The sequence below is a fragment of the Homo sapiens genome, chromosome 21 (assembly GCF_000001405.40).
Source record: "Homo sapiens chromosome 21, GRCh38.p14 Primary Assembly".
Classification (NCBI taxonomy): domain Eukaryota; kingdom Metazoa; phylum Chordata; class Mammalia; order Primates; family Hominidae; genus Homo; species Homo sapiens.
In genome coordinates this window covers 45,950,124-45,975,065 of record NC_000021.9, presented here as the reverse complement: position 1 = coordinate 45,975,065, position 24,942 = coordinate 45,950,124, and the positions used below count along the sequence as shown (strand labels likewise).

Sequence of the window (24,942 nt, the reverse complement as noted above, 5' to 3'; positions counted from 1 at the left end):
TCCCCAGTGACTGTGGAGTTTCCGGAACGCCGTCCGGCGACTCCCTCCCAGGGTGTGGTGTTGGAAGGCGGCACCCACTATAAACACCGAGGACCCAAGCCCTCCAAGCATCTGTGGAACAAAGACTTTTTTTATTTCTTTCTACTGCCTCCACTATCCAGTGAATTTTCCTCCCAACTTAGAACATGACTCATCAAGGAGGACCCTGTTTCCAGGGGTTACACATGCGGTTTCCGCGGTGGTGGCCCTGTACGGCCAGTGGAAGTGGCACAGGGACAGAGAGGCACATGCCGGCCCCTCCAAGGGCCCAAGGGGTGCACGCGGCCCTCGGCTCCTGTCCCGGCACCTGGGCATGGCGGCCATCCCCTCCCCTCCCTCCTTTGTGGGGGGTGAACCCATCTCCATCTCCTCCTCCCTGTGAAGGTCCAGGGGTCTGGCTGGCCCGCGTGTTTGCTGGGCACCTAGGGCAGGGCGGCGTCTGGCCCCAGCCTGTTTGCGGAGTGTGAATGAGTCCGCTGGCCGGAGGCAGCCTGCGGTTGGATCTCCCCGGGCTTCGGGTGGGGCGGGTCCCAGGGCCGCGGGTGGGGAAAGTGCAGCCCATCCTGGTCCCAAGCGGGGGTGCGACGGCTCAACACTGGTCCTTGTGAGTCAGGCTCTCCCTACAGGACGTCCCCCAGGTGATCGCTGGGGCCTCGTTGACCACGGGCCTCCCCAGTCGCCAACGGGAAGGCAGAAGGCAGAAAAGAGGCCAGCCGGGAGGCGGCCGTTGCCACAGGAGCCCGCGGCGCGGGGAGGACGCCTCGGCTGCAGGCGGGGCTCCTGGCAAGCGTCGGGGACGCGGCCTCCCACCGGTCGGGTCGGGAGGGAGCAGGCTTCTGGGGAGAGTGGGCGACCTCGGCGATCCAGGAATCGGTCTGCGACAGACTGACTCCTAGATAGGAAAACACACGTTTCCGGCAGCATCGCCTGTAACTGGAAAGACACAAGGCTCAATGCCGGGGACTGGTCCGTCAATCACGGGCCCTGGGACAGTCCTGCGGCCCCCAGACAGCGGCGAAGAAAGCTCTGCGCGCCCCGGTTTGTTCCGGGAGCGCCTCTGGGAGCCGCAGGCTCTGGATATCAGAGGGAGGGCGCGACCCCGTGGCGGGAGCCGCAGGGTGCTGGGGTTGCGTTCCCGCCCTCTCTGCGTTTCCTTTAGTGACTCCCGCTAAGAGGGGCTGAGGCGGAAACCCCCGCACTGAGTGTGAAACTCAGGAGCTCGCTGAGGCCCCCTGGTGCTTCCCGGGGCCGCGTGCATTGGCCTGATTTCATTTTGTTCCGTTGCCTGTAAGCTGAGAATTTCATTTTCTGGTGAGAATCCGCCATAGAAGCTCTGGTTCTGGGAACTGTCATTTCAAAGAGACGCAAAAAAAAAAAAAAAAAAAAAAAAAGACTGAAAGACTGTCTCGATGGCGCTGTGATCTCGCTGGGTTGAGAGGCCACTGCCCTGAAACCCAGGGCCCGTGAGGCAAAGGGTGGCGGGGGGTCCAGGGCTGCCCAGCGCTGGCAACACAGAGGCTCCCCCAAGCCATGCCGGGGGCTGGCACCGCCTCCTGAGGACCCCCGAGTGGATCCCTCTCCCAGGCTGGCATCACGCCCCATCCCGTGGCTCCCGGGCGCCCATCAGGGGCTGGTCCAACACGCCCTCCAGGGAGGGCTGGAGACTGCAGAAGAGCGCTCTGAGCCCGTCTGACCGCACGGGGTGGGCTCCCGCCGCAGGCAGGCCCGGCCCCCGGGACACGGACGCGGCAGGGACGTCCCCCACGGCACGGGGCCCGCAGCCCCTAGAGCTGGGCCCCGGAGGCGGCTGCGAGGCTGCGGGGCTGGACGGGTTAAGCCTTTCCCGTTACCTCATGCTGGCCTCCGCCTCTGAACATCTGGCAGGAATATTTCTTTACAGCCGTCTGAGCTGTGGGGGAGTCTGGCTGCGTTCCCAGAGCCTTTTCCTCAGATTTCAGCGGAATGGGGGAGCCAGCAGGAGCCGGCGTGGACCCCAGGGAGGAGGCTTCCCGGGAAGGGACGGCGCTGAGGCCGCACCTGGCCCCCAGAGCCCACCCTGAAGGCTCCCGGGCAGCCAGCGCATTCCTGCTGACGAGAATCACTTCCGGCGCCGCTGACCCGGCCCGGGAGACCCTGTTCCGGCGCCGCTGACCCGGCCCGGGAGACCCTGAGATGTCTGTGGGCAGCAGTGGGAGCCCTCGGGTGGGGTTGCCGAGGCTGCGGAGGGCCAGGGCTGCACGAGTGGCACAGCTCAGACCTGGGGTCCCTGTGTGAGACCCCGCACCCCGGGCCGGGGCCCGAAACTCCCTCCTCTGTGCCCCCATCATGGCTTCTGGGCCCAAAAGGTCGTGGGGGGAGGGGCGGGCTCCCGAGCACTGGGTTTCAAGCCCCGATGCTGTCGGTCCTGCCGGCCCCATGCTCAGACACCCGGTTCCCTTCGCAGCGCAGGGCAGGGCCCAGGGGCTTCTAGGACCTGGTCTCGGAGCTCCACACAGGCCCTCCCCCGGCAGTGGGGAGCTCAGCTGCGGGGGCTGCCCCATGTCCCGCTCACCCGCCGGCATGCAGCAGTTTTAACGAGGCTGGGGCAGTAGGGAAGAAAGGGTTAGGATCCCTTACAGACCAGCAGCCCCCACTCCGGCTGGGTCCCAGAGAGACGGGGGCGGGGGGCTCCTTGCCACTCTGCAGGGAGCTGAACATGGGTGGTCACAGTCCCACATCACCCCACTCCTCAGACACCCAGAGGGTTTCCACGCAGGACCACAGCATCTGTAGGGGGCCACTCAGACCCTCCGTCTCTCTGCCTGACCACACCGTGGCTCAGAGAAACTGCTGGCATCCTGCCTGGTATACCCCAGGCTGGATGTGCCAGGAAAGCTGGGGCAGTCAGAACTGGGTGCGGTCCCAGCTCTGTCACCCACTAGTTGCCTGAGCTCGGGTCGGGACACAGGCTCCCAGAAGCTCCGTTTTCTCAAGTTGTCAAGAGAATGTCCACTCTGTCGGTGGGAGCTGATGGAGGGAGTAACAGTGACAGAGCTGGGGCTCCCATGAGGCCGAGGTCCACAGGCCCGGGGCTCAGAGACCAGTCCAGATGGACGCAGCACACAGCTGCCAGGGGCCCGCCCACCCAGCCCAGCTTCCCAGCATCTGGTTTCCATTGTCCCCACATGGGAGTCACAGAGCCTGGGGCCGAGTGCCTGGGTAACATCTGGGCTTCTCAGGAACACTCACACTCCCTGGGCCAATCAAACCCCAAAGAGAGGGTGCGGTGGGAACGCGGCTGGTCTGTGGAAAGAGACCTCATCTCCGTTCAGGGCCTCCAGGCCTCAGGGCCATCTCAGTGCCCACCTTACGGAGCTGTGGCTGGAGGCTCTGGGATCAGGACAAACTGGGAGCGAGACGCAGCCATCCCTGCTCTGGGCTGGGTCTGGGGTCCCAGGGTGCCAGCCACAGCCAGGCCGGAGGGCCCAGAGCAAGGCCCTCCCAGGTGCCCGGCCTCTGGAGTCCCCACCCTTGGGAGGCAGAGACCCTCGCGTTCAGCAGGGTGACCTCCGTGATCTAGGGCTCCTGGGCTACTGCCAGTTCCCTCCCCAAACATGTGACCCCAAAAGCATCAGGATCTGAGGGTTGTTTCAGAGCTGGGGGAGGGGTTGGGTGCTCTTTTGCCCTCAGGAGAGCAGGCCCAGTACTCAGTGAGTGCCCAGGGGTGAGGAGGGCTCAGGAGGCCAGCGCCGGGCCATCAGCCTCTGCACCCCAGGGTCTGAACTCAGGGTCTGAGCGAGTCCAGGGCTGCCCTGCAGTGACAGGGAGGGCCGAGGGTGGCAGAACTGGTGATGGTGGCTCTGGAGATGGCGGTGGGGGAAACGGGGGCAGGCAGCCTGGCTTTGGGACCCCAGGCCCCAAGGTCACAGTGACCTGTAGCCTGCTGGGTCCAGATACACAAGCAATTGTCACAGCCTAGCAGCTGGGGGGCTCTAGGAGGGAGGCTGGGGCTGCACAGTGAGGGGCAGTGCGGGGTGTGGGACACGGTTTCTGGAGTCTCTGCTCCCCCAGCCTCGTCCCTGCACAATCGCAGGCCCCCTCCTCCCCTCCCACTGAAGCTCACTCCAGACAGCTAGGTTGACAGCTGGGTGGGTGCCCCTGGACCCTGAGGCTGGTGAGGCTCCTGCGGACGCCATGGAGGGATGGTCAGGGGCGCCCTCTGCTGCCCATGGGCACCAGTGCAGGACGGTCCCCCGAGGGGCCCAGAGCCAGCACTGTCCCCTTTCCGTGGCCTCCCCGCTGGCCCCAGATGCCTGGGTCCACCGGTGCCTGGGAGACTCTGGCGAGGCTTCCGCTGGGGTCAGTGGATTTGCCACCCCCTCTCTGTCCTGACCCTGCCGGAGGCCAGTGAGGGAGCAGCTGGAACAGGGAGCCCTCCAGGCCTGCAGGCAGCGGCTTCCCTTGGCTGCAGGGACTGGGTGGGAGCCGGAGCCTGGCCCGGAGGCTGTGGGGTGCAGGAGGTGCGAGGAGCCCTAGGCCAGGGTCACAGCCCAGGTAGGAGGCATCAGGGCCTCCGTGGTCGTTGTTTTCAGCAGAGACCTCGGGGGAGACGCAGTGCCTGCCAGAGCCCACTGCAGTGGTCGGCTCCAGTTGCCCCAGGCCAGGCTACGCCTGGGCGTTTCTCCAGGTCTCCTGAGAACCCCTTTCCCCTGATAATGGGAACAATCCCCTCACCTTCCCCTTTGCAGAGGCAGGAATGGTGCTGGCTCACTGTTACATTATTCTCTTACCTCTTTGTCTCCTTTAATTTGACCTTTCCTGACCTTGACGTTTTTGAGACGTTTAAGCCACTTATTCTGTAAAATGCATCTCAAGTTGGGCTTGTGGGGCCGTTTCTCATGACCAGGTCCAGGCTGTGTGTTCCGGCCGGAATTCCACAGTAGTGCTGGGGGCCCTCGGGCGGGAGTCAGAGGCTGCTGCTAATGGGAGCTTCGATTTAGGGCAGCTTGAACCTGTGCTCCCAGGTGGCTGTCCTTAAGCTCTGGGCTCCAGTAAACTCTATGCTTAATCATATTTTCTGAGTCTGGTAATTTAAGACGGACAATGATATCCCTGTCTATCATCCGTCTAATTTTGTTATTCATCTATTGACCTCCAGCTACCATCCCTCAGTGTACTGGGGCTGCTGTAATGAAATGCCATACCGTGGGAGGCTTCCATAACAGAAACTAATTTTTTCATAGTTCCGGAAGCTAGAAGTTCAAGGTCAAGGTGCTGTCAGGGTTGGTTTCTGGTGAGGCCTCCCTCCCTGGCTTGCGTACAGCTGCCTTCTCATTTCTTCACATGGCCTCTTCTCTGTCCACTTGCAGAGAGAGAACAATCTCTGTGTCTCCTCTGAGAAGGACACCAGTCCTGTCAAATTAGAACCCCACCCTTATGACCCCATTTAACCATAACTACCTCCTTACAGGTCCCATCTCCAAATGCACTCACATTAGGGCTTAAGGGCTTTGACATATGAACACGGGAGGGACACAGTCAGTCTGTAACACCACTGACCCATGCACACCTGTGTGTCTGCTTGGCTGCCTTCCCGCCACTGTAACACCTTTTCAGAGAGTGGAGACCAGACCCCCACCAGCCACAGTGTAATTGTCTATTTGCTGCATCCGAGAATACACAGAAAGCAGCTTCAGGGTTGCTAATCCCTACCTGTGTGAAAAGCAAACCTACTGTGTAGAGCTTATTTATAATTTTTTAATAATATAATTATATATAAATAGATAATTATACAATTATAATATTTACTTATAATTTTGAGGGATCTTTGGCCTATGAGTACATGGTCAAAATACTTTGTTCAAAAATTTCTTTTTTTTTTTTGAGACAGAGTCTCGCTCTGTCACCCAGGCTGGGGTGCAGTGGTGCTATCTCGGCTCACTGCAACCTCCACCTCCTGGGTTTGAGCGATTCTCGTGCCTCAGCCTCCCAAGTAGCTGCACCTGCACCTGCAGGTGCCTGCCACCATGTCTGGCTAATTTCTGTATTTTTACTAGAGACAGGGTTTCAGCATATTGGCCAGGCTGGTCCCGAATGCCTGACCTCGGGTGATCCGCCGACTTTGGCCTCCCAAATTACAGGCATGAGCCACCATGCCTGGCCTGTTAAAAAATGTCTTATCCTCCCCTTTCCCTTGCATCCAGTGTGCTTATATTATCCATTTGAAATGAAATGAGTGTCGATTCCATTTTGTTTCCCCACGCTTATTGGTTTCAGTTATTAGTTTCTGAGTAGGGGAGACAATAACATGTTCTGAAGTTTGGAGTTACAGAAGGGTTTGCTCACGCAGTGGTCACTCCCGTCTCCCCCTCCTTTCTGCCCTGCCCCACCCACCTCCTGGAGGCAACCAGACATTCTCAATTCTCATTTAGCCTTTCTGTGTTTCTTTTTGCAAAAGTAAAATGATGCATGTATATTATTTTCTTATTTCTCTTTTTTCTCACCCCAAATAGCCTACTATAATCTTTTGCTCTTTGCCTTTTTTCATCACTTAACAACATACATTGAAATCACTCCGTGTTGGGTCATAGAGACCATCCTCATTCTCTGTGCAGCTGCATGAAGGCACTATGTGGCAGTACCTTAGCTTAGCCAACACACGTCTACACAGGAGCATTTAATTTTTTCCGGTATTTCACAACCACCAATTATACTGCATCAAATGACCTTGTGCCTACAAGTCTTCCTATCGTTGGAGGTTTTCTTCGGTGTGAATTCGTAACGTGGAGTTGCTGGGTCACGGAGTTTTATCGGATTGAACTGCCTTCCGCACGGCTGTGCAGCTTGGAGTCGTCAGCCAGTGAGAGGCCACGGCCTCATCAATACTGTAACTGTCACAACACGAGATTGGAGAGGACCTCTCACTGTAGTTTTAATTTTTATTTCTTATTCCAAATGAAGTTGAACAACTTTTCATATAATTAAAGATCTTTTTTTTTTTTTTTTTTTGAGACGGAGTCTCGCTCTGTCGCCCAGGCTGGAGTGCAGTGGCGGGATCTCGGCTCACTGCAAGCTCCGCCTCCCGGGTTCACGCCATTCTCCTGCCTCAGCCTCCCAAGTAGCTGGGACTACAGGCGCCCGCCAACACGCCCGGCTAATTTTTTGTATTTTTAGTAGAGACGGGGTTTCACCGTTTTAGCCGGGATGGTCTCGATCTCCTGACCTCGTGATCCGCCCGCCTCGGCCTCCCAAAGTGCTGGGATTACAGGCGTGAGCCACCGCGCCCGGCCTAAAGATCATTTTTATACATTTTTGGAGAAATGATCTATTCATGTTTCATGTCTTTTGCCCATTTTTCTGTTGAGTTTTTGATGTTTTCCCCCTCAAATATTGAATTTTTTAATATATGGAATATTAGCTATGCATCTGTGATTGTGCAGCACACACCTTCTCCTCGTCTCTCAATTTTCCTTTGCCTTTGTGGTGTTTTGGGCCATGCAGAATGCTATTATTTTCATGTAGTCAAATTAATCTTTTGTTTTGATTCCTAGAAAAATCTTTCCTCATATTCAGGGTATGGAGGAATTCACCTGTATTTCCTCTAGTACTTGTTTCATTTTTTACATTCAGATCCCAAATCCACTGGGGTGTATTCTTGTGTATGGTGTGAGGTGTGTGTGCCGGGGAAACTCTAACCCTGTTTCTCCTCTGCTCTCACACCACAACAACCGTCAACATGGAAGAAGACTTCTGCAACCAAATGTGCAGAGGTTTCCCCACACATCAGGCAGCGGGCACCTCTAATTCAGTTCCAACGCTGCCTGCCCAGAGCTAGTTTCACCTCCTACAGTGTAAGGGGTCCGTCCCCAAGACCACTCCCTCTTTCCCACCAGTGGCAAGTGTGGGCCTCTGGAGCCTCTGACCAACCAGCTTCCAGCTGGAGTTTGATTAATTTGCTGGAGTGGCTCACAGAACCCAGGGAAACACTTATGTACATTACCAGCTTATTATAAAGGATGTTGCAAAGGATACGCATGAAGAGGCCGAGGGGGAGGGAAGGGGGAGGGGCTTGTTGCTTCCATGTCCTCCCCGGGCAGCACCCTCCAGGACCTTCCATGTATTCAACTCCAAAAGCTCACTGAACACTGTTCTCGTGGGCTTTTATAGAAGCTTCATGACATCAACACTCCTTTCCCCAGGGTCTAGGGTGGGACCCTCTCAGGTGAGGGTCTTAAGACCCACAGTCAGCAAGGTGGGGACGTTAGAGTGAAGGACAGGAGAAGGTGAGAGGCCTCCCCTGTGGCCCAACACACCCGACATTGTAACAAAAGACTAACGAGGGGTAGGGGAGGCATGAGCCAGGAACCATGGATGAAAACCCATTTATATATGTGATAACACCAATATATACCCATTTATATATATCATAACACCAATATATACCCATCTAATGCCACAGTATGGAACCCATTTTAACTTTTTCCAAATAGCTACTGAGTTGTCCCAGCACCATTTATTAAAAAGTCCAACTTTGCTTTAATTATTTGAGATGCCATCTATATTAGTCCATTCTCGCATTGCTGTAGAAAAAAATACCCATAACTGGCTGGGTGCAGTGGCTCATGCCTGTAATCCCAGCACTTTGGGAGGCTGAGGTGGGCTGATCACCTGAGGTCAGGAGTTCAAGATCAGCCTGGTCAACATGGTGAAACCCCATCTCTACTAAAAATACAAAAAATTAGCTGGGCATGGTGGTGGGCGCCTGTAATCCCAGCTACTGGGGAGGCTGAGGCAGGAGAGTCACTTGAACCCGGGAGGCGGAGGTCATGGTGAGCCGAGATTGCCCCACTGTACTCCAGCCTGGGCAATAAAAGCAAACCTCCATCTAAAAAAAAAATAAAAATAAAAAAAGGAAAAGAAAAAAAGAAATACCCATAACTGGGTAATTTATTTAAAAAGAAGTTAATGGGCTCACATATGCAGGCTCTACAGGAAGGATAGCAGTTTCTGCTTCTGGAAGGCCTCAGGAAACTTACAATCACAGCAGGAGGCAAAAGGAATGCAGGCACATCTTATGTTCCTGGAGCAGGAGGGAGAGAGAGATGCAAGAGGGGCCATACACTTTCAAACAACCAGATCTCATGATAACTCACTCACTCACTCTCATGAGAACAGCACCAAGGGGATGGTACTAACCCATTCATGAGAAATGCACCCCCATGATCCAATCATCTCCCACCAGGCCTCATCTCCAACACTGGGGATTACAATTCGATATGAGATTTGGTGGGGACACAGATCCAAACCTTATCATTCTGCCCCTGGCCCCTTCAAATCTCATGTCCTTCTCACATTGCAAAATACAATCATCCCTTCTCAACAGTCCCCTAAAGTCCTAACTCATTCCAGCATTGACTCAAAAGTTCAAAGTCCAAAGTCTCATCTAAGACAACCCTTCCATCTATGAGCCTGTAAAATAAAAAACAAGTTAGTTACTTCCAAGATACAATGGGGATACAAGCATTGGGCAAATACTCCTATTCCAAAGGGGGAAAAGTGGCCAAAAGAAAGGGGCTATAGGCCCCCTGCAAGTCCGAAATCCAGTAGGGCAGTTGTTAAAACTTAAAGCTCCAAAATAATCTCCTTTGACTTCATGTCTCACATCCAGGGCACACTGGTGAAACGGGTGAGCTCCCAAGGCCTTGGACAGCTTCACCCCTGTGACTTTGCAGGATTCAGCCCCCACAGCTGCTCTCAAGGGCTGGTGTTAAGTGCTTGTGGCTTTTCCAAGCATATGGTGCAAGCTGTCAGTGGATCTACCATTCTGGGGTCTGGAGAATGGTGGCCCTCTTCTTACAGCCTCACTAGGCAGTGCCCCAGTGGGGACTCTGTGTGGGGGCTCCAGCCCCACATTTCCCCTCCACACTGCCCGAATAGAGATTGTCCACAAGGCTTCACCCTTGCAGCAGGCTTCTGCCTGGAGACGCAGGCTTTTTCATACATCCTCTGAAATCTAGGCAGAGGCTCCCAAGCCTTAACTCTTGCACTGTGTGCAGCTGCAGGCTTAACACCACGTGGAAGCCACCAAGGATTATGGCTTACATTCTCTGAAGCAACAGCCTGAGCTGTAACTGGGCCCCTTTCAGCCACAGCTGGAGCTGAAATGGCAGGGATGCAGGGAGCAGTGTCCCATGGTGTTGGGGCCTTGGACTTGGCCCATGAAACCATTCTTCCCACCTAGGCCTCCAGGCCTGTGATGGGAGGGGCTGCTGCAAAGGTCTCTGAAATGCCTTGGAGACCTTCTCCCCACTGTCTTGGATATTAGTACTTGGCTTCTCTTTACTTATGCAAATTTCTGCAGCTTGCTTGCATTCCAGCCCTGAAAATAGGCTTTTCTTTCCTACCACAGGGCCAGGCTGCAAATTTTCCAAACTTTTATGTTCTGCTTCCCTTTTAAATATAAATTCAAGTTTTAGGTCATTTCTTTGCTCACACATCTGAGCATAGACAGTTAGAAGCACCCAGGCCACATCTTGAATGCTTTGCTGCTTAGAAATTTCTTCCACCAGATACCCAAAATCATCTCCCTCAAGTTCAAAATTCCACAGATCTCTAGGGCAGGGGCACAATGCTGCCAGTTTCTTTGTTAAAGCATAGCAAAAGTGGCCTTTGCTCCAGTTCCCAGCGAGTTCCTCATCTCCATCTGAGACCTTCTCAGCCTGGACTTCACTGTCTGTATCACTATCAGCATTTTGGTCACAAAAATTTAACAAATCTCTAGGAAGTTCCGAATTTTGCCACATCTTCCTATCTTCTTTTGAGCCCTTCACACTCTTCCAATTTCTGCCTGTTACCCAGTTCCAAAGCTGCTTCCGCAAAGCTGCTTCCACATTTTCATGTATCTTTATAGCAATGCCCCACTTCTTGGTACCAATTTTCGGTATTAGTCCATTCTCACACTGCTATAAAGAAATGCCCATAACTGAGTAATTTATGAAGAAAAGAGATTTAATTGGCTCATGGTTCCACAGGCTATAGAGGAAGCATGGTGGCTTCTGCTTCTGGGGAGGCCGCAGGAAATTTACAATCACAGTGGAAGGCGAAAGGGACGCAGGCACATCTTCCATGGCCGGAGCAGGAGGAAGAGAGAGATGGGGGAGAGGCCACACACTTTAAAACAACCAGATCTCATAACTCACTCACTATCACGAAAACAACGCTGAGGGGATGGCGCTAAACCATTCGTGAGAACCCCGCCCCCATTGTCCAGTCACCTCAAACACTGGGGCTTACAATTTGACATGAGATTTGGTGGGGACACAGATCCAAATCATATCACCATCTTTATTTAGAAACATAAATTTCCATAAGTGCTTGGTGCCCTGTTTTATTCTGAGCTTTCTGTTCTGCTCCACTGGCCTGTTCTCTGTGCACTGGTGTCTCACCGTTTCCGTCACAGAGCTAATGTAGGCTGCAGCTTCTCCACCAGCCCCCTTGTAGGGAGTTTTTTTCTGTTTCCTGGCTGTTCTTGCTTGTTTGTTTTTCCATATGAATTTTAGTATCTATTTGTCTACATCAATAGAAAAGTTGGTGTTTTTACTGGGATTGCACTACATTTATAAAGTGTGTGTGGAAAACGTTCAATGGTGTGGAGTCATCCTATCCAAGAGCAAGGGCATCCATCCATTTAATGACCTCATCCTCGTGTCTTCCAGAGTGTTTTAAGGTTTTCTCATATAAGATTTGCACATTTCTTGTTACACATTCCTAAGTAGTCTCCTCTGTTGTTGTTTTAAATGGAGAGCTCTGCGTTTTAGCTGTTGAAAATTATTTAAATGGAAAACAACCTTTCTTTATTAGCATTTGTAAAACTATCCTGTAGGGAGAGCCTCTGATGAAAAGTATATGAAAAGTAGGTCAGTGAAGTCAGAGGGCTGGCCTCTAGCCCTGGCTCCAGTATATACTTGTGTGTAATCCCCAGGAAAGCTGTGGTGTCTCTGGGCCACAGTTTACCCACCTGTAAAATGGGGATGCAGTGTCTATTCTGGTGGATGGTTGAGAAAATCAAGTGGAAGACACAAAGTGCCACAGGAAGTGGGTGATATGGTTGGGCTGTGTCCCCACCCAAATCTCATCTTGAATTGTTGCTCCCACAATTCTCATGTATTGTGGGAAGGACCCAGTGGGAGGTAATTGAATCATGAGGGCGGATTTTTCCTGTGCTGTTACCGTGATAGTGATAGACACAGGAGGCAGATAATGGGGAGGGTCCCCGGAGAATCTCCAATCTGCCTGTGCACTGGGAGAATGGGGTGGAGCCACAGGAAATTCACATCTTGTGCAAGAGGGAGGAGCCTGGCCTCTTCAGCTCCTGTGTGGTGGCCTGGAACTCAATCTGCAAGATGGGAGCCTCCTGGAAGGATCCCCTCCTGCTTTGCTGAGAGTTTTTTTCCTTTTTTTGTTTTTGCCCAATAAATTCCATTCCCCTCACCCTTCAATACGTCTGCATGCCTAACTTGTCCTGGTCATGACACAAGAACCCAGATTTAGCTGAACTAGGAGCAAAGTCCTGCATCAATAGTGAATAAGTCTCATGAGATCTGATGGTTTTATAAAGGGCAGTTCCTCTGCACAGGCTCTCCTACCTGCCACCATGTAAGATGTGCCTTTGCTCCTCCTTTGCCTTCTGCCATGATTGTGAGGCCTCCCCAGCCATGTGGAACAGTGAGTCCATTAAACCTCTTTTCTGTTATAAATTACCCAGTCTCGGGTATGTCTTTATTAGCAGCATAGGAATGGACTAATACAGTAAATTGGTACTGCAGAGAGGGGGGTGCTGCTGTAAGGATACCCAAAAATGTGGAAGTGACTTTGGAACTGGGTTACAGGCAGAGGTTGGAACAGTTTGGAGGGCTCAGAAGAAGACAGGAAAATGTGGGAAAGTTAGGAACTTCCTGGTGACTTGTTGAATGGCTTTGACCAAAATGCTGACACTGACATGGACAATAAGGTGGTCTCCAGGCTGTGGTGGTCTCAGATGGAGATGAGATGAGGAACTTATCGGGAACTGGAGCAAAGGCAACTCTTGCTGTGCTTTAGCAAAGAGACTGGCGGCACTTTGCTGCTGCTCTAGAGGTCTGTGGAACTTTGAACTTAAGAGAGATGATTTAGGGTATTTGGCAGAAGAATTTTCTAAGCAGCAAAGTGTTTGAGAGATGACAGAGCATTAAAGTTTGGAAAATTTACAGCCTGACTATGGTAGAAAAGAAAAACCCATTTTCTGGGGAAAAATTCAAGCCAGCTGCAGAAATTTGCATAAGTAATGAGGAGCCAAATGTTAATCGCCAAGACAATGGGGAGAATATCTCCAGGGCATGTCAGAGACCTTTGTGGTAGCCCCTCCCATCACAGGCCCAGAGGCCTAGGAGGGAAAAATGCATTCATGGACTGGGCCCAGGGCTCCCCTGCAGTGTGCAGCCTTGGGACATGTTGCCCTGGGTCCCAGCTGCTTCAACTCCAGCCATGGCTAAAAGGGGACAAGGTACAGCTCAGGCCATTGCTTCAGAGGGTGCAAGCCCCCAGCCTTGGCAGCTTCCACATGGTGTTGGGTGCACGGGAGACAAGAATTAAGGTTTGGGAACCTCTGCCTACATTTCAGAGGACGTATGGAAATGCCTAGATGTCCAGGCAGAGGAGTGCTGCAGCGGCAGAGCCCTCATGCAGAACCTCTGCTTGGGCAGTGTGGAAGGGAAATGTGGGGTCAGAGCCCCCACACAGAGTCCCCACTGGGGCACTGCCTAGTGTGAGAAGAGGGCCATCATCCTCCAGACCCCAGAATGGTAGATCCACTGACAGCTTGCACCATGAACCTGGAAAAGTCACAGACACTCAATGCCAGCCCATGAAAGCAGCCAGGAGGGAGGCTGTACCCTGCAAAGCCACAGGGTTGGAGCTGCGCAAGACCATGGAAACCCACCTCTTTCATCAGCATGACCTGGATGTGAGAAATGGAGTCAAAGGAGATTATTTTGGAATTTTAAGGTTTAATGACTGCCCTAATAGATTTTGGACTTGCTTTGTCTCAGATGAGACTTTGGACTGTGGACTTTTAAGTTAATGCTGAAATAAGTTAAGACTTTGGGAGACTGATGGGAAGGCATGATTGGCTTTGAAATGTGAGGATGTGAGCAGGGTCAGGAGTGGAATGATATAGTTTGGCTGTGTCCCCACCCAAATCTCATCTTGAATTGTATCTCCCATAATCCCCACGTTGTGGGAGTGACTCAGTGGGAGGTAATTGAATTATGGGGGGTGAGTGTTTCCAGTATGGTTCTCGTGATAGTGCATAAGTCTCATAAGATCTGATGGTTTTATAAAGGGCAGTTCCTCTGCACAGGTTCTCTTGCCTGCCACCATGTAAGATGTGCCTTTGCTCCACCTTTGCCTTCTGCCATGATTGTGAGGCCTCACAGCCATGTGGAACTGTGAGTCCATTAAACCTCTTTTCTGTTATAAATTACCCAGTCTCGGGTATGTCTTTATTAGCAGCCTGAGAACAGATGAATACAGTGGGTTATTCACGTTATCTCCTGAAATATTCACTTCCAGGCCCTTGGAAAAGCTGAGCTGCACATCATGTGATGGTTAGAGGTGTCTAATGGTCATTAGAGGACACAGAGCGGTGCCACCCTGTGTCCATTGAATGAACTGCCCACAACAGGCCCTCCCAGTGCCTCCCCTGCCAGGCTCAGACTCATCATCTTGGGAAGGACAATGTGTCCCACACGGCCCTTTCCTTGGGGCCTTCCTCACCGTCTGTCTTGGATGTAGCCTCAGCCATCAGTGCCAGTGTTCCTGGGATGCTTGGCAAGGGCAGGGTCCTGGGTTGCATCCAGAACAGGGATCAGAACTGCAGGTGACGCACCTTGGAGTCTGCAGCACTCCAAGGCCAGCTGGTTCCTGCACATTCCAGGCTCCCAGAGCCAAGGCCGCTGCCTGAGCAGTGGAGAGAGGTGTTGAGACCAGTCACGGAAGCAACGTCCAGAGTGCACCCTGGAAGGGCAGGGGCTGGCAGCAGGGACTTTCTGGGAGAGGATCCCTGACTGCAATGAGGGCCGTGGGGTGGACCAGAAAGGATGCATCTCCGCGTGCTGCTACAGCACAGGTGGCTTCCTGTGTTTCTGAGCTTGGACAGGAACAGACTCTCTCAGGATGGACTCTGTGTCTGGCATCTCCTGCTTGGCGTAAGGTCCCTGAGGCAACCCAAGTTGATGTGTGTCTGAGCAGGCTGTTCATTCCCATTGCTGTGGAGCATCCCAGTGCGCAGACACTCCACATTTTACTCTCTCACTCATTTTGGGTGGCCTGTGGAGTGGAGATGTCATGAGAAGGGTGCTATGAATGTCCCAGTGGATGTTTCTGGTGCACACACATTCACAGTTCTCTTGACCACATCTGGAAGTAGAAACTACAAGGTCACAGACACGCAGATACTCAGCTTCAGGAGACACCACTCATCTTCCAGAGGAGCTATTCACTTCCAGCAGCCATCATTGGAAGTTCTATTTGCTCCACATCCTCTGTCCACAGGCCATCTCTGCCTGTTTCATTTCAGCTGTCTGTCGGCCAGGCAGCAGTTCCACGCTGTGGTTTAAATTTGCATGTTTGTTGGTAATGAGGTCGAACACCTTTGTGTATGCTTGTTGCCCACTGATTTCTCATGTCTTCTGAAGAGTCTGAGCAAGTCTTTTTCTCATTGGTCTCTTGGGCTGTCTTCTTATTTGCACGTTCTAGAATGAGGCTCTGTGTCAGACAAGTGTACTGTGAATATTTTGTCTTTCTAGTTCTTTATTTTATAGTTGTTTATCAACTTCGTTTATGGTTAGTGGTTTTGTGACCTCGGTATCACTCTTTGCCCACTGCAAGCTCTGGAAGCTCTTCTCCAATGTTTACTTCTAGAAGATCATTGTCTTACTTTTGACATGCAGATCTAAAATCCATCTGGAATTGACTTTTTTTTGGTATAGGGTGTGAGGTAGTGTTTTGTTTTGTTTTGTCAGAATGAAACAGAACAAAAAAACAGAAAAGGACCCCCAGAAAGGAAATTTAACAAAGTATCAGCACTGGTTATCTTTGGATGGTAGAAAAATGAGTGATTCTCATTTTTCTTCCCTGGAGTTATGAATTTTTACTTTTTGGGAAAGTGTTATGATGCTCTCCTAGGGTGATGGTTTTGACAGACTTCACTCTAACATCACTTTTCTCGGCATTGTAACAAATCCATTCTGACCATTGGAAAAGAAATTGTCCACTTTTGTACGAGCCATCTGATGGGCCCACTCCCTCTGGCTGAGTCTGTTTTCCCAGTAGAGGAAGCTCTCATGGGCTTGAGTTCCAGACAGTCATTCACTAATTCTTAAGAGGAAAAAGAATACTTCTGTGGTGGACACAGAAGTAGTCCAATTTCAAATACTGGACTTTCAAATGAAGTTCAAAAGTTTCCTGTATCTGAATCTGTCCAAACGACACTTGGAAATTTTCAAAAACACATTTTTTAAGAATTAGTCCTTTCTGTTTTCTCTATTTGGTCCTGCTTCTCCCATGGGAATCTCTTGGTCAACGAAATTCTTCTCCAGCTCCTGCTGACTCTGTGCTCTCCCACTCTGTCCAGCTCTGTCTCGTTGTGATCTGTACTATGCCCCCAAACTCCCTTTTTTTTTTGCTTGTGAAAAAAGCCCTGGCTGATCTGTTATTCAATCTTGAAAACAAACAAAAATAAAAAATGAACCAGTCTCTGACTATAAGGCAAGATTGGAAGCGAGCGTGCTGAGTCCAGGAAATGCTTGCCCCATTCTGCAGTGGGCTCCGCCCTAACTCAGTGATCAAGCCAAAACCTCGAGCTGGGTTGGAAAAGTGGTGATGCAGCCAACTTAGCTTCTCAAAGATGCCTTCTGGCATAGGACTGTTTTCAGCTGGTTATTTTGAAATGCTTTGTAAGAACAATTTACATCAATAAATGAAACTTCATTTCTTTTCTTTTGTTTTTGTTTTTGGAGACAGGGTCTCACTCTGTCACCCAGGCTGGAGTGCAGTGGTGTGATTGCAGATGACTGCAGCTTGAATTCTTGGAGTCAATCAATACTCCCACCTCAGCCTCCCAAGTAGCTCGGGCTACAGGTATGCAACACCACGCCTGGCTAATGTTTGTATTTTTTGTAGAGATGGGCTCTCACTATGTTGCCCAGGCTGGTCTCCAACTCCTGAACTCAAGTGATCTGCCTGCCTCAGCCTCTCAAAGTGCTGGGATTACAGGAGTGAGCCACCGCCCAGCTGAAACCTCCATTTAAAGGGCATCTCTGTCTTTGCATTGGGAAAAGAAGGGGAACGAAGTCACTAGAAACTCTTACACTGGAGGCAGTGTTGGCTTGACTCTCCATAGCAAGCCTTACCTTTGTTTAGGTGTTTTTCTGTCCACCTTATCTTAACTGGGCCTTTTGGTTTTTCAAGGATGAAGTACTTTATTACTCACAGCAATATCAGTAGCCAGAATGTTGGCATTTTTTTCTAACAGAGTATCAGCATACTTTTCACACCAGTTTCCGAGCCCCGTTTCCCAAACAGTGACACAGAGTGGGCCCAGTGGCATCTGCACACACCGTGGACTGCACTGCAGGAGAGGAACCCTGAGCTCAGGGAACGTGAATCTTTTATAATGGACAGTAAGCATGCCTGCTCTTTGCTTTGGAGGGAGAAAACGTCTTTACCTTCAGGATTAGGGTGTAAGCAACCTGCCCTTTGATCTGGAAGGACATATTATCAAGGCTGTCACAAAACAACACCCTTGGAAAGATGGTCTAGAACAATCAGTGCCTCTGTCCATGAGATGAGCAGGAATGTCAGAGACAGAGAGTTGGGTCCCAGCCTCATCCAGTCCTCATTGCAAATCGTCTTGGCCACTGACACGTTTTCTTGTGAGTGTGCCACTTGATATGGTTTGGAGGTTTTGTCTCCTCCAAATCTCATGTGAAAATGTGTTTCACAGTGTTGCAGGTGGGCCCCGGGGGGAGGTATTGGATCACGGGGTGGATGTCTCATGAATAGCCTAGAGCCATCTTCTTGGCAATGAGCACGTTCTCACTCAGTTCCCATGAGAGCTGGTTGTTTAAAGGAGCCTGGCTCCTCTGCCCACTCTGTCCCTTGCTCCTGTTCTTGCCATGGGATGTGCCTGCTTCCATGGCCACTTTCTGCAATGACTATCACTTCCCAAGGCTTCCCCAGAAGCAGACACTGGGGCCATGCTTGTGTAGCCTACAAAACCGTGAGCCAAATAAACCTCTTTTCTTTATAAATTACCCAACCCCAGGTATTTCTTTATAGCAGTGCAAACAGCCTAACACACCTGTCCATCAGCCACTCTCATTACTCCCACTGACAGAGGCGATCTTTCCTTCATGGACCTTCTTGCTGTTTGTTTTACTGTTTTGCACCAAGCACACATGGGTGTGTTTGTGACATCATCCCTCTGCCCCTGACCTCCCCATTTAAGCGTTTGTAATTAAATTGCACCCACCTGGATAAGCCAGAGTTACCTCTTTATTTTCATGTCAACTGAGTAGAAACCTTAATTAATTGGCAACATTAATACCCCCTTGCTATGGAATATGATGTATTCATGGGTTCTGGGGTTTAGGATTTGCACATCTTTTGGGGGCCATGATTCTGCCTTCTACATAGATCACATCAGACAAAAAGCATCAAAGCTGTTCAAGACTTGACAACGCAGTCACCAGCTATTAGATCCACATAGAGCGGGTGGCAGGCAGAGAATACACTTCTACTCAAGCAGACGTGGAAGACTTACAAAAAGAGACCATTGGATTAGGTCATAAAAGATGCCTCAGTAAACCCCAAAGGATCCGTGTCATGGAGATTATGAATTCGTACCATGATGCAAAACATTTGGAAATGAATATTCAAAGGATACCTGAGAGAATCTCATGTGTTTGGATATTTAATAACATTTTACTAGTAACCTTTGGGTAAGTAGAACTCTTGAGGGAATGAAAAACCTCTTTAGAATTGAATAATAATGATAATACCGTATGTCAAAAGTCACAGGACACAGTTAAGAGTACCTAGAAATATACAGTCATAAATACATTTTCAATAGGACGGGCGTGGGGGCTCACACTTGTAATCCCAGGTGACTACAGGAGGCCGAGGTGGAGGATCGCTTGAGCCTAGGAATTGCAGACCAACCCGGGCAACAAAGCAAGACCCTGCTTCTACAATAAATGAAAAAATAAATTAGCTGGGTGTGGTGGTGCACGCTTGTAGAGAGTAAAAGTTTTCCTCTTCAAATTTCCCCTTCTTGTTAAAGAATACATCATAAGTGTTAGAAATAATAGTTTCTTTTAAAGACTTTCTTCAATTCTCCTTGCTTTGTGCTAATAACTCTTTGTTAAGCCCTATCCCATGTAATTGTTGGACATGCTCACAGACACGTTCCAGCTCACAGCCTATGCCCCTTCCTTATTTGGAAATGTTATTGCTTCCTTAGACCTTTCCTAATTACCTATTTAGGAAAGTTTCAGGTTATTAGCAAATCAGGTATCAGTTTAAGACTGTGAGGCCCAGCTCCAGCCAATGGATGCAGGACACAACAGTAAGGACGACCCAAATGCTTAAGGGTTAATTATGTCTGCCTTTCCTTTGCTTAGGTGACCTCTCGCGATCATTCCATCTGTGACTGAGCACCCTTTCTGCAGAAAGTAAAGATGGCCTTGCTGAGAGATCTTTTGTGTCTGTGCTGACTTTTCTTCGCGGCACCGATTATCTATTTCGAACAATTTTGGTATTTCTAACAGCACTTGTAGTCCCAGCTACTTAAGAGGCTGAGGTGGGAGGGTTGCTTGAGTCTAGGAGTTTGAGGCTTCAGTGAGCTATGACAGCACCACTGCACTCCAGCCTGGGGAACAGAGCAAGACCTTCTTTCAAAAAAAAAAAAAAAAGAAAAAAGAAAAGAAATAGAACTAATCATACAAATGAAATAATTGGAAAAAACAGCAATGTAACAAAATGATCCCAAAGTAATAAGAAAAAGGGAAATGACAAAGATACTGGCAGAAATCAATGAAATAGAGAAAAATAAAATAATATGAGTAGCAAAAACCAAGGATCATACTTTGAAAAGATATATTGATTTTGACAATATTGAGCAAAAAAAGAGGAAAATATAAATAAAAATAGAGACTGAAAATACAGAAATAACTGCAGACAGAGGGATCAAAGAAATCACAAGAACGTTATGAGCAGCTGCATTCAGAAAGTTTGAATTCCCAGATCGTTTCAAGAAAAAACAAAATGCCAGAGCTGACCCCGGAAGAGGCCAGCGCGCGCCTGCCCCAGGCTTCCCAGGTAGACTCTGCCAAACTCAAGGAACTGCTCAAGCTTAACTTAGACAAACTGGCTCAAGCCAGAACTTAGAGAAGGGGCAAAAGGCTGGTATAAGCCAATTCCAAAACCAGCTAAAGATAATCCGAGCTTTTGCCTGCTCAGCTGCTGGGTGCTGTTCCCAGACCAAACCGAGGGTGGGGCTGCTTGTTCTCTCGGCCCAGTAACGAGACGCAGATGAACTGGGAGAGGAGTGAGTTAACCGGTTACAGGGAGAAGGCCTGGAAATTATCGCCAGACCAACGTTTTCCAGAGCTTGTGTGCCTTCTAAGCTCTGTGTCTGCGTGTAAGTGTGCACTCATCCAAAGACATAAGTGATGAACTTCTCATCTATCACTAAGGCCTGAGTCCTGAAGACCTTCCTCTGGAGCCTCAGTGGATTTACTGAATCTAACTGGGTCCAGGTGCTGGGGTGATCACCCTTATCTTGCCCTCTGCTAAATCACGGAGGTTGAGGGAGCTCCTTTAGTTTCCAAGGAAGCTTGTTTGTGGAGGTCTGGGGAGTTTCTTCAGACCCCAGTAAAACTTGTTTAATCCTAAACAGGTCCTGTTAAGAATTCCTTCATTATCTTGTCATGCTTCAAGGCCCTGGAGAGGCCTGGGCAAAACTCTCAGGGGACGTCTTTTACAGTCCAGCCTTTGCATAAGGGCGCTGGCTCTATCAGCTTTTAATATTTATCCTCATCCCTCAGTCGGTGTGGAAACAGTTGTTCCCGGGGGCCTGCGTGAGTGAGACCTGGCCTGCCTCGGTACCATTCCCGGTGCGCTTGGCACAAAACAATGAAACAAATAGCAGGCCCGTGAAGGGAAATATCCTAAATAAAATATTAGCTTGCCAAACCCAACAGCGTATGCTTTTAAAACCACACGTGATCAAGCAACGCTTGTCTGTGAATGTGACGCACATGCATTGGGAGGTCTGTCGTGTAGCCCACCATAGTCACAGGCTAAACGGAGAAAAACATCTCGGCCAATGCAGAAAGCACATCCCACAAGGTTCAATACCCATTAGTGATACAAACTCTTAGCAAAGTAAGGACAGAGGGAAAGTTGCCTAATTTCAAGTTTTATTACTGGATGTCCTGGCTGTGGGATATGGCGAGGTTTCTCTTCAAATAGCCTGATCAATCTTTTAATTCAGAGTACCCCTCACACGGTTTTTTCCTTTTTCCTTTCTGCCTTTGTTAGATGCCCAGGCATGCCACAGTACCAGGCATTATCAGTACCAGCTCACATTCCTGTCCTTATTTGGAAAGAGGACTAACTTTCTAGCTCACTACAGACACCCCTTCCCCTTTCCTCTCTTTTACGTGCTCACCTTATCTAAAAAAATTCAAATGTTCAGCCAACCGGGATTAGATTGTACAACCCGACCCCGGCCGATGGGGAAAGGGCACGGGGGCAGGGGCAGGACTTGTGGCAGGAAGAAAGGCTCTCGTGCCCCTTTGTTCAGATGTACTCTCATGGCGACTGGCCAAGGAGGCACCCCTCTGCGCAGAAGTAAAACTGCTTTGCTAAGAATCCTTTGAGTGTTCAATTTCCTTAGGATTTTGAGCGTTATTCCTACCACGGCTAAGTGTAGAAAGAGAAAGAAAGAAATGCAAAGATTGGAAGGGAAGAGAGACGGCTGTCATCTGCAGGTGACATAATCCAGCCACAGAAACCATCAGAATCACCAGCCAAAGACAATTTAGCAAACTTGCCAGATACAAGATGAAATTAAAAATCAATAGCTTGGGATTCAGCCCGGAGATGTGTCGAGCTGGAAGGAACAGTACAGTAACAAGAGAAAACTCGAGATGGAGCAGGGCCCCAAACACAGAAGTCGAGGGAAATCTTGAGTCCCTTCGGGGGAAATTCCAGGCACGTCGCTGGCTTTAAAAAACACCATGGAATACTACGCAGCCATAAAAAATGATGAGTTCATGTCCTTTGTAGGGACATGGATGAAGCTGGAAACCATCATTCTCAGCAAACTATCGCAAGGACAAAAAACCAAACACAGCATGTTCTCACTCATAGGTGGGAATTGAACAGTGATGGACACAGGAAGGGGAACATCACACACCGGGGCCTGTTGTGGGGTGGGGGGAGGGGGGAGGGATAGCATTAGGAGATATACCTAGTGCTAAATGACGAGTTAATGGGTGCAGCGCACCAACACGGCACATGTATACATAGGTAACAAAACTGCACGTTGTGCACATGTGCCCTAGAACTTAAAGTATAATGATAATAAAATTAAAAAAAAAGTCAGTGAGCAACGTGACAAGCAAGAAGGTCAGAACAGCTTAAAGCAACAGCCAAGGAGGTGAGAGACCGAATGCTCGGCTCCCCAGAGAAACAAAAGATCCCGTCACTCACAGACATCGGGTGGGGTGGGGGTGCTGAGGACTGAACTGGGACCACCATTCTCTGTCCTCAGTTTCCTCCGGAGGGGCCTGGAGGAAGTCACGCCCATGGGCCAGAGCTAACATTCCTTTCTGATGGCCCCGGGTTTTCAGGTAAAGTTTCCTTCCCTTCCTTAACCAATGACGAATCAGAGAATATGACCTGTAGCCCCCGGCTTCGAGACGTCCCACCCTTTAGGGGAAGCCAATGGGCAGCCCCAGGTATTGATCTCTGGCTTTGCCCGTGACCTCTGCCTCCTGCTTTTAGTAACCCTGAGCCGGAAGCCGTCAGAGAGTGCCAGTCTTAAGCACGGGTTGCCCGGTTCTCCTTGCCTGGTGCCCTGCACTGAACGCCTCGCTTTCTCTCGCTGCAAATCCCCATGTCGGGGCTGGGTTTTCTGTGCTGGGCAGGCTGACCCCAGTTCCATTCAGTAACAAGCTGTGCAAACTGCAGATTAACAACTTTTCTTGAGCCCATCAGAGAACCGAGGTCACAGGACAAATCTCTAGCCCGAAATCCAGAGACAGACAGCTGCAGGGTCCTGGCATTTTCTTACCTGAAACCCAGAGACAGGCACCTGCAGGGTCCTGGCATTTTCTTACCTGAAGGCCACAACGGAGGGCAAGATGGTTGAATTGGAAATTTTATAACAAACTGCTGAAGGCTGTGAGCTTCAGGGAAGTGTGGAGTCCCTGGGAGCCGCAGACAGAGGGAAGTTCCATCTTTTTGCAGACTCCGCCTCCAGGAACCCCGCTAGGTGCCCATGGGGAAGACAGGGTGAACTCCAAGAGAGGTTTAGCCCCTGGTGCTGCCTGGGGAGGGACGCCCAGACCACCTCCCACCTCTGGAGGGAGCCTTAATCTTCAGGATGCTGTGAAGGGCGGTTAGAGGGGATGGAGAGAAAGCAGCTCTGCCCCCGGGGCAGGTGTGTTCAGGCCCAGGCTACACCTCGGGGAGGGCCCGGTTACTTCTAGAAGCTGAGTCAGGGGCTGGGTATTTTCTGTTTCTTGACGAAGAAACATAATTGTGTGTCTTACAATTATGCATTATATCAGGTATTTAGGTTCTCTGTACTTTTGTGTATCTTTGTCATCTTTTATGGTAAGAATTTAAGTGAGTTATTCAATATGGAAACAGAGTAAGAATATAATTAACAAAGATTGTGAAGGAGGGGCAGGCATGGTGGGAAGTGGAGAGCTAACTCCTCATCTGTCCTGGCAGGAAACAGCAGGAGAGGTGGGATCAGACCCAACAACAGCTGCGAGCTTTTCTGTACTGAGGCGTCTCCTCCCCCAGCCGCCCTCCCTTGAGGAGGAGCCACAGCACCCTGGAGGAGGCAGAGCCGGAGGCGGCCGCTGCGGGAGGCTGCCACGGGGCAGTGCCAACAGGGCTGGAGGGAGGGAGGCGGGCAGGAGGGGTGTGTGTACGAGGCCAGGCCTGGGGCAGTCTCCGCCCCGAGGACAGGTTTCACTCAGGAGGTAATGGTAATTGTGCTTTGTAAAAGGCCACTCTGGAGAAGGAGGGTGGCTGTGTTGTGGTGGAGAAGGTGGGTGCATGGCTGCTCTGGACACAGCATGGGACCCTCGAAAGGGCTCGAACCCTCCTGGGGGTTGGAACAGGGCCAGGGGCTTTTGGACAAGCCCTGCCTGTTGTCCTGGGCAAGGTCCCCAACCCAGTGCCCTGGTGCACCCTTCACTTGCTGGTGCCCCCAAGGCCACCCCGCCCCGGAGTCACAGGTCACAGTTTCCGCAGGACACGCAGGGGTGAGGTGGCACCTGACGGCCTCAGGGACCCACAGGAGGCATCTCATAAAGGCACGTAGTCCAGGTCTTCCTCGTAATCCTTAGACGTGAAAGCTCGGGGGGAATCCGGCACTCCGGGCACTCGCTGCCATTCCCAGGTGGGTGCGTCACCGCCGCCCACTCACAGCATGGTAGATGCTGGCGGTGGTTGCACCCCGGCCCGTCAGGCCCAGGCTGGGAGCATGGCCCTGTGCCCACCTGTGGGTCAGTGCCCGTGCAGAGGCACCTGGAAGTGTCCTTGCCAAAAAGAGAACGGAATCGACAAAGCTTCTGTGACCAC

At 50.7% G+C, this 24,942-nt stretch overlaps 1 long non-coding RNA gene across 1 annotated transcript, besides 5 other annotated features; it reads right to left on the bottom strand.

Annotated features, from left to right (window-relative positions):
* Positions 1–112: 112 nt before the first annotated feature.
* Positions 113–2,096, bottom strand: LOC101928796 (uncharacterized). The gene is made up of 2 exons (NR_109931.1): positions 1,890–2,096; positions 113–972 (listed from the first exon to the last, which is right to left on the bottom strand). It is a non-coding gene; the product is annotated as an uncharacterized LOC101928796 (long non-coding RNA).
* Positions 229–1,029: an enhancer, noted in NCBI's record as "H3K27ac-H3K4me1 hESC enhancer chr21:47393951-47394751 (GRCh37/hg19 assembly coordinates)". NCBI's record gives its function as "activates a minimal SCP1, AML or CMV promoter by ChIP-STARR-seq in primed H9 embryonic stem cells {active_cell/tissue: H9 hESC(primed)}" and the evidence as "EXISTENCE:reporter gene assay evidence [ECO:0000049][PMID:30033119]".
* Positions 1,339–1,388: an enhancer, noted in NCBI's record as "active region_18596". NCBI's record gives its function as "activates an Ori minimal core promoter by ATAC-STARR-seq in GM12878 lymphoblastoid cells {active_cell/tissue: GM12878}" and the evidence as "EXISTENCE:reporter gene assay evidence [ECO:0000049][PMID:35858748]".
* Positions 1,649–1,718: a silencer, noted in NCBI's record as "silent region_13412". NCBI's record gives its function as "represses an Ori minimal core promoter by ATAC-STARR-seq in GM12878 lymphoblastoid cells {active_cell/tissue: GM12878}" and the evidence as "EXISTENCE:reporter gene assay evidence [ECO:0000049][PMID:35858748]".
* Positions 4,357–4,651: a silencer, noted in NCBI's record as "tiled region #9072; HepG2 Repressive non-DNase unmatched - State 4:PromP, and K562 Repressive non-DNase unmatched - State 12:CtcfO". NCBI's record gives its function as "represses a minimal TATA promoter and a strong SV40 promoter by Sharpr-MPRA in HepG2 and K562 cells {active_cell/tissue: HepG2 | K562}" and the evidence as "EXISTENCE:reporter gene assay evidence [ECO:0000049][PMID:27701403]".
* Positions 22,653–23,338: an enhancer, noted in NCBI's record as "H3K4me1 hESC enhancer chr21:47371642-47372327 (GRCh37/hg19 assembly coordinates)". NCBI's record gives its function as "activates a minimal SCP1, AML or CMV promoter by ChIP-STARR-seq in primed H9 embryonic stem cells {active_cell/tissue: H9 hESC(primed)}" and the evidence as "EXISTENCE:reporter gene assay evidence [ECO:0000049][PMID:30033119]".